Below are 9,576 nucleotides of genomic sequence, written 5' to 3' on the forward strand. Positions count from 1 at the left end.
GGGTCTGGTGTGGACCTCCAGCAAACTCCAGCAGACCTGCAGCTGAGGGTCCTGACTGTTAGAAGGAAAACTAACAAACAGAAAGGACATCCACACCAAAACCTCATCTGTACGTCACCATCATCAAAGACCAAAAGTAGATAAAACCACAAAGATGGGGAAAAAACAGAGCAGAAAAGCTGAAAATTCTAAAAATCAGAGCACCTCTCCCCCTCCAAAGGAATGCAGCTCCTCACCAGCAACAGAACAAAGCTGGATGGGGAATGACTTTGACGAGTTGAGAGAAGGTTTCAGATGATCAAACTTCTCCGAGCTAAAGGAGGAAGTTCGAACCCATGGCAAAGAAAGTAAAAACCTTGAAAAAAGATTAGATGAATGGCTAAGTGAATAACCAGTGTAGAGAAGTCCTTAAATGACCTGATGGAGCTGAAAACCATGGCACGAGAACTACGTGACGAATGCACAAGCTTCAGTAGCTGATTCGATCAACTGAAAGAAACAGTATCAGTGATTGAAGATCAAATGAATGAAATGAAGCGAGAAGGGAAGTTTAGAGAAAAAAGAGTAAAAAGAAACAAAGCCTCCAAGAAATATGGGACTATGTGAAAAGACCAAATCTACATCTGATTGGTGTACCTGAAAGTGACGGGGAGAGTGGAACCAAGTTGGAAAACACTCTGCAGGATATTATCCAGGAGAACTTCCCCAACCTAGCAAGGCAGGCCAACATTCAAATTCAGGAAATACAGAGAATGCGACAAAGATACTCCTCAAGAAGAGCAGCTCCAAGACACATAATTGTCAGGTTCACCAAAGTTGAAATGAAGGAAAAAATGTTAAGGGCAGCCAGAGAGAAAGGTCGGGGTATCCACAAAGGGAAGCCCATCAGACTAACAGCTGATCTCTCAGCAGGAACCCTACAAGCCAGAAGAGAGTGGGGGCCAATATTCATATTCTTAAAGAAAAGAATTTTCAATCCAGAATTTCATATCCAGCCAAACTAAGCTTCATAAGTGAAGGAGAAATAAAATACTTTACAGGCAAGCAAACGCTGAGAGATTTTGTCAACACCAGGCCTGCCCTAAAAGAGCTCCTGAAGGAAGCACTAAACCTGGAAAGGAACAACCGGTACCAGCCAGTGCAAAAACATGACAAATTCTAAATACCATCAATGCTAGGAAGAAACTGCATCAACTAACGAGCAAAATAACCAGCTAACATCATCAAGACAAGAACAAATTCACACATAACAATATTATCCTTAAATGTAAATGGGCTAAGTGCTCCAATTAAAAGACACAGACTGGCAAATTGGATAAAGAGTCAAGACCCATCAGTGTGCTGTATTCAGGAAACCCATCTCACATGTAGAGACACACATAAGCTGAAAATAAAGGGATGGAGGAAGATCTACCAAGCAAATGGAAAACAAAAAAAGGCAGGGGTTGCAATCCTAGTCTCTGATAAAACAGACTTTAAACCAACAAAGAGCAAAAGAGACAAAGAAGGCCATTACATAATGGTAAAGGGATCAATTCAACAAGAAGAGCTAACTATCCTAAATATATATGCACCAATACAGGAGCACCCAGATTCATAAAGCAAGTCCTTAGAGACCTACAAAGAGACTTAGACTCCCACACAATAATAATGGGAGACTTTAACACCCCACTGTCAACATTAGACAGATCAATGAGACAGAAAGTTAACAAGGATATACAGGAATTGAACTCAGCTCTGCAGCAAGCAGACCTAATAGACATCTACAGAACTCTCCACCCCAAATCAAAAGAATATACATTCTTCTCAGCACCACATCGTACTTATTGCAAAATTGACCACATAGTTGGAAGTGAAGCACTCCTCAGCAAATGTAAAAGAACAGAAATTATAACAAACTGTCTCTCAGACCACAGTGCAATCAAACTAGAAGTCAGGATTAAGAAACTCACTCAAAACCGCTCAACTACATGGAAACTGAACAACCTGCTCCTGAATGACTATTGGGTATATAACAAAATGAAGGCAAAAATAAAGATGTTCTTTGAAACCAACGAGAACAAAGACACAACAAACCAGAATCTCTGGGACACATTTAAAGCAGTGTGTAGAGTGGAATTTATAGCACTAAATGCCCAAAAGAGAAAGCAGGAAAGATCTAAAACTGACATCCTAACATCACAATTAAAAGAACTAGATAAGCAAGAGCAAACACATTCAAAAGCTAGCAGAAGACAAGAAATAACTAAGAACAGAGTAGTACTGAAGGAGATAGAGACACAAAAAACCCCTCAAAAAATCAATGAATCCAGGAGCTGTTTTTTTGAAAAGATCAACAAAATTGATAGACTGCTAACAAGACTAATAAAGAAGAAAAGAGAGAAGAATCAAATAGATGCAATAAAAAATGATAAAGGGGATATCACCACCGATCCCACAGAAATACAAACTACCATCAGAGAATACTATAAACACACCTATGCAAATAAACTAGAAAATCTAGAAGAAATGGAAAAATTCCTGGACGCATACACCCTCCCAAGACTAAACCAGGAAGAATTTGAATCCCTGAATAGACCAATAACAGGCTCTGAAATTGAGACAATAGTTAATAGCCTACCAACCAAAAAAAATCCAGGACCAGACAGATTCACAGCGGAATTCTACCAGAGGTACAAGGATGGACTGGTACCATGGATTATTCTTAAGAAGTGGTAAAATATGTTGGAAACAAGCTGTTCCTCTTCTAAGCAAAGTTCAGAGTTTAAAAGTATGAAATGATAATACTGATGAAAGAAAGATTGAATGTAGGAGAACATTACATAATAATAATTTGGAAAATGTTTGGTTTTTAAGACAGTGGAAAGTTTACCAAATAGTATTTAAATAATTCTGTTAGCAAAGGCTTTCCAGAAAGATATTTTTCTATTGTAATCCTGAATTAATATTCTGAAATAACTTAACTGCTTGTCTTAAGTTGCAGAGATGTGTTAAGGTGGTTTACATTTATCTGCATTTATAATTTTATCATTTCACAGTTCTTTTAGGGTTTCTCTATATTATTAATCTCTGCTGTACCATGCATAAGCCACTGTATTTTTAACTCAGTCTAAGAAGAGTTTAAATATACTTTCTAGAATCTTGAAGAACAGCAGATCATTAAATAGACTTCTGGGAATTACTTCTCCACTGGTCAGAATGTCATCTGTCTCAACAGTGGGATTTGCAAGGTTAAAGAGATATTAATAAATGGGTGTTGGTTGGGGCCTGTCATGGGGTGGGGGGAGGTGGGAGGGATAGCATTAGGAGAAATACCTAATGTAAATGATGAGTTATTAAAGTATAATAAAAAGTAATAATAAATAAATAAATACAAATAAATAACTGGGTGTTGGTTAGGCACATAAATGGCAATCTTGATTATCTTGCCTTTCGCATACTTTACTCTCTCAATCCTTCTGTAAATTTAAGCAGATGGTAGACCTGCAAGCTCCTGTATTCTCCAGAAAACAGAGATAGCTTGAGTGCCCCCATTTCCCCTCTAGTTCAGTACCTGATGAAATAATAAATAATAAATAGATTCTTGATGAAAGAAACATACCCCCGCTTATTAAAGTAACCCATATTTGTTTGTTCATACCTTGTAAAGGTAACAAATGACAAGCAGAAAGATGTTTGTCTTTCCTATTTGCAAATGTAATGGAGAAATAACTTTTATTGAACATTCACTATGTTTTAAACACTAGCATAAGTACTTCTCTCATATTTCGTTTAAAACTCAACACAACCCTGAGGTAGACAGTTTTGCCAGTTGAAAACTTTGTAACTATATCAAGCAGATAGTAAAGAAAGTATTTTATTGCAGTAGTTTGACTCCTACATCCTACGTCCACACTGTCAGCATTTATGCTTTGACATTATGACAGATATATTCACTGGGTTATATGGTACCCCATGAGTAGAAATGCTAACCTAGAGAGATGGAGCCTGGATCAAGTGATTGGGAAAAGGTTTTAAGGTTTCAGAGGCAGGCTGTATGTCTTCTCTCTTCTGCCTACACTTCACCATTTACTGACGATACCATCATCTGCATGTTTCTGCTTCTCAGTGCCTTCAATTCTCAATGTCCTATCAATACAGTAGGTACAAAGGTAACTGCCTCATACTGTTTCCATGAGAGTATAATGAAAAAGTTAACCTAAAGTATTTGGAACAGAATTCTATGTTCAATAAATGTTAGAAAAATGATTGAAGGTTAATTATGAGTTGGCTACTTGAAAGGTGGAAGGAGAGGAGTTGGTAGGGAGAGAATGTTACAGGCAGAAGGTCTGGCATGCTCTCTCTCTTTCTCTTTACCTTAATTTTTCATAAGCTTGTCTATAAAAAGGAGGCTTAAGCCAAAAATTAATAGTTGATAATTTGTCTGAGATGAAGGGACCTGTGTTTATAAATTGAAAACAAGAAAGTAGAGTTGGAGATATTAAAAGTAATGGCTGCCCTCTGAAGGACTATTGAGAATACCTCCTGACTATGGGGAAAAAGTAAATACGATTTTAAAACAAGTTTGTTCCTCTAAACATGACTAAAATGTACATTCCAAATGGAGGCTGTACTTTTGAAGAGGACAACAATTATGTAGCTATATGAGAAAATTAATTCATTGACAATTTGTGAAGAAAGAGTGTAAGTTTTAGAATCAGATCCCATAGAATTTTAATTTTATTACTCCTTATCAACTGTGACCTTGAATAAGTTACTCATCTTCTTTGAGTTTTACTCTCTTTTATGGTCTGTTAATTGTGTCAAATATACAAACAAATAGGAATATAAAACATATACATGTAGAAGAAAAAAATTAACCAAGCACTGAAATATGTCCATTAACCTTTTAAAACAAAACCGCATGTCTTCCTTCCACTTCGCATCTCCCTCTTTCCAGCCCCTTTCCCCAGAGGTAATGCTATGTTTCTGTGATAATTTCCTTGCCTTACCTTACAATTTTACCCAATATGTATGAATTCCCTTAATAATACAGTGTAGATTTGCTTGCTTCTATAAAAATCAGGTTGATTTCTTGTTCTGCAACTTGTTTCTTTTGCTCAATATTAGTTTGTGGATTGGTAGGTGCTGAATTTACAGCTTTAGATCTTTTACTTTTAATGTTGTGCAGCATTCAATGGCATGATTATACTATTTATTATTTAATCTACTGTCCATGAGCAATTCCCTTTACCTTATCTCCCAGTATGAGCCTCTCTCAAGAAATATCTACTCTGGCCAGGTGCAGTGGCTCATGCTTGTAATCCCAGAACTTTGAGAGGCCGAGGCGGGTGGATCACTTGAGGTCAGGCATTTGAGACCAGCCTGACCAACATGGTCTCTACTAAAAATACAAAAATTAGCCGGGCATGGTGGCGCATGTTTGTAATCCCAGCTATTCAGGAGGCTGAGGCATGAGTATTGCTTGAACCCAGGAGGCAGAAGTTGCAGTGAGCTGAGATCACACCACTGCACTCCAGCCTGGGAGACAGAGTCTCACTCTGTCTCACAAAAAAACAAAACAAAACAAAACAAAAAAAACCAAACTACTCTGAACATTCCTACATGTGTCTCTTGGCATGAAGATATATAACTAGGTGTAAATATGTTGGACAATGTAGTGTGTGCATCTATAATTTCATTAGTGAATTAATGCCTACCTTTTTCCATTGTACCAATATACCCTCTCACAGCAGGACTTCTCATTTCTCCCATGTCACATTTTTTTGTTGTCAGTTATTATATTTTTGCCAAACTGTAGGGTTTCTAATTCATCATATCATCTTTTGAGTTGGGTTTTCCTTATTATTAAAGTGGTTATTGATCATATGCACCTATTGGCCATATAAGCCTCCCCTTTGTGAAATTCCTATTCAATACTCCTAGCTGTTGTCAATGTAATTAGTTCTGGATCCCAGATCTTTATTGGTTATGTAGCACCAATAACATGCTTAGCCTGTGGCGTGTTATTTCACTTATTTATAGTATCTATTACTGTCAGAAACTCTTAATTTTAATGTAGTGAGATTTAAAGTGTTTCCTACCGTGTTAGTATTTAATGTGTCTTGTTAAAAAAATCTTACCTAATCCAAAAAAGATATATTTCTATATCACCTTTTAAAATTTTTGTAGTTTTTCCTAATTTTTCACTCTTCTGCAAAATGGTTTCAGTGCATGGTGTGAGGCCGTGGTATATGGTGACCATGAATATGTCCTACTCAAATATCCTGGCATAAAAAGTTTAATTACTTGAGATTTTGGCTCAAGGACACACCATTGATTTAGCTAAAATTAAACAAACAAACAAAAACATGAACTGCAATTTAAGACTCTTTCTACCAACCTCTGTCTTCTTTCTACTTTCTTCCCAGGTTCAGATCTGCCTCACAGTCTTATATGTGTCCCCACTTCCTCAGCTTGTTCCCTCTTTTCCCCACTCACAAATATTTCCCCCCAGAAAATATCTTGCATAACAAATCTTTTTTTGTTTGCCTCTTGAAAGATCCATTTTATTTTCTATTGATAACCAATTGTTTCTATATCTGGGCTTTAATTTTCTTACCTGTGAAATGGAATTTTTAAAATTTACTAAATATGTTTGATCTGTGAGTCAGAGAGCTAAGATACTTATCATTGTGCTTTAGAATATTAGCTACTATTAATTTATTTCCATTCTTCAAGATGTGTCTTTCAGAATGTAGAGGAATTGCAGTTCAGTTGTTATGAACTAAATCTACTCTTGGGTGAACTGTACTACAAAGTATCTCTGTGCATTTGTGCAAGCCATTTCACCTTCCTGTGCCTCTCCTTCACAAAACTAAAATTAAAAGGAGAAAATATTTTCTACCTGGTTGACTAAATTCTTCTAGTTAATTAGTTAATGCATTTGACGTTCTTACAAAAAATTTGTAACTAACAAATTAGTTAATGTATATAAAATTCTTAAGATTGTTAAGACTTATATAAAAGTAAGGGATACTCACACCTTTGTAATTTGCAACTCTAATAATTAAAAACACTGTTTTGGCTGGGCACAGTGGCTCACACCTGTAATCCCAGAACTTTGGGAGGCCAAGGCAGGTGGATGACTTGAGATCAGGAGTTTGAGACCAGTCTGACCAACATGGTGAAACACTGTCTCTACTAAAAATACAAAAATTAGCCCAGCATGGTGGCGTACGCCTATAATCCCAGCTACTCAGGAGGCTGAGGCAGGAGAATCGCTTGAACCTGGGAGGCAGAAGTCGCCATGAGCCGAGATCGTGCCACTTCCCTCCATCCCGGGAGACACAGGAAGACTCTGTCTCAAATAAACGAATGAATGAATGAATGAATGAATGTACTGTTTACATGGTACTATATACAGTGTCATCACGCATTTGCTTGTGTCCCTCCATGGTTCCAGAAGACCAGGTTTTCCCAATAAATTATATGCAAGTGAATATTTCTCAATTCTACATAAATGTATGTAACTACACATTTATGTATCTCTATATATTACTACATAGATATATATATAGATATGAGTTTAATATTTCTACACCGCAGTGAAAGCTTTGCTTAACTACAACCCTATGCATTTATGAATTATATAGTAATCAGAAGAAAAGCCCAGATACTCAGACTACTTTTATCTTTTTTTATTTCTATTCAGATAGTCTTTTTGTTTCAGTAGTATACCATATAATATCTGCTAGTTGCAAACTCTGAAAAATGACATCAGGTATTCACACTGAATATAACCACACTTACAATATTTAGGTATTGCCTAGAATAGAAATGAGAAATGTGAAAGGGAACTTTGTTTTCTGACAATTATAGATATTACCTCAACCTTCAGAGATGCAATTCAAAACTTATTTGTGCTATTATGATTTAATTTTAACTTCTACATTATATTAATGTTATCATGTTTATCTTTGATATTTATATATATCTCAATATCTTTCTATATTGAGTTGCATTTCTGGAAGTATTGCTTCTCAAAAAGTTCTCCATGTAAACACAAAGGCAAAGATTTTTTGATATGTGGTTACTGTATTCAGCACACCAATTGCCTATCTTAAGAAATATTTGACAGAAGATTCCAGAGCAGCCAAATAATATAGAAAGTTATGTAATGATTAGTGCAATAGAATTGTACCAATTTATGATTCCATGTTTATATATGTGTTATTCATTATAAGGTAACTACAGAAATTAACTTACACAGGCCTGATGAGTAATGACCAAATAGGCTATTCAATTCAATAATAATTTTTAGAACCCAGCATTGCCATGGGGATCGTACTCCTAAAAATTTATAAACCTCATGTCCTTTTCAGTAAAATGGATTTTTAATATAGCATAAATCATGATGTGAAGATTCAATTAGAAAATGTAATTTAACTCTCAAATTTTAATTTTTTTATGTGATATTTGCCCCTGTGAAGAAAATTTGTAACGAAGATGAGGAAATCATAAAACATTTATATATAATGTCAAAATATACACAAAGCGTGATAATTACCTGATAAAATTAAAAATACTGGGCAATTTTGTCAGAACTTGTCCCCTAGATGTACAGATATATGTTGTTAAATTTATTCCATGAAGGATGTCTAGGTGGTCTTCAAATAAAGGGTTCTGTGGCTGAATACGTTAGGCAAGTATTTGCTTCAGCAAAGTTAATCAGTCTTTAAAAAAATTTTAATATTGTAGAGATTTTCAGCACTTTACACATAGAATGTCTAATAGGAAGCATAAGTTTGCAGTGGTTCCCAAACTTGTTTGACTGCAGAACCTTGTTTTCTCTCAAAAATTTTTATGAAACATGTATTGGTAAATGTTGATGTAGGCATTAAATACAAATTAAATTTAGAGAAGGGAAAAGTGAATCTTGGTAAGGAAGTGGGCAACATTTTTTGAAGAATTAGTAATTAAATTCTGGATTGGATTTAAAACAGGAGAGGATAGAGCATTATAGGAAATGATTCAGAAAGCATGATGAGATTGATAGGCTCATCAAAATGTGAGACAAAGTTTTCATATTAGGAAAAAAGTGGGCAATATGTTTGTTTCCAGAGGATATGGACAATTTCTGGAGTTCTTGACAGGCAGAAAAGAAGATTGGATTTCATCTTTAATTTTATTTTTTCCATATTTGTGTTGAGCCATTCTTGCATTGCTATAAAGAAATACCTGAGACTGGATACTTTATTTAAGCGGAGGTTTAATTTCCTCATGGTTCTGCAGGATGTACAGGAAGCACAGTGCTGGCATCGCCTTCCAGTGAGGCCTCAAGAAGTCTATAATAATGATGGAAAAATGAGGAGGAGCAGGTATCTCACATGGTAAATGTAGAAGCAAGGGTGTTTTGGGGGAGCGCCACACACTTTTAAAAGACAAGATCTAAGGAGAACTCAGTCACTATCACGAGATCAGCATCAAGCCATGAGGGATCTGCCCCCAAGACCAGACACCTCCTACTAGACCCCACCTCCAGCACTGGGGATTACAATTCAACATGAGATTTGGCAGAGACATGTATTCAAACTA

This window comes from Homo sapiens, chromosome 9 (assembly GCF_000001405.40).
Source record: "Homo sapiens chromosome 9, GRCh38.p14 Primary Assembly".
NCBI classification, from domain to species: Eukaryota; Metazoa; Chordata; class Mammalia; order Primates; family Hominidae; genus Homo; species Homo sapiens.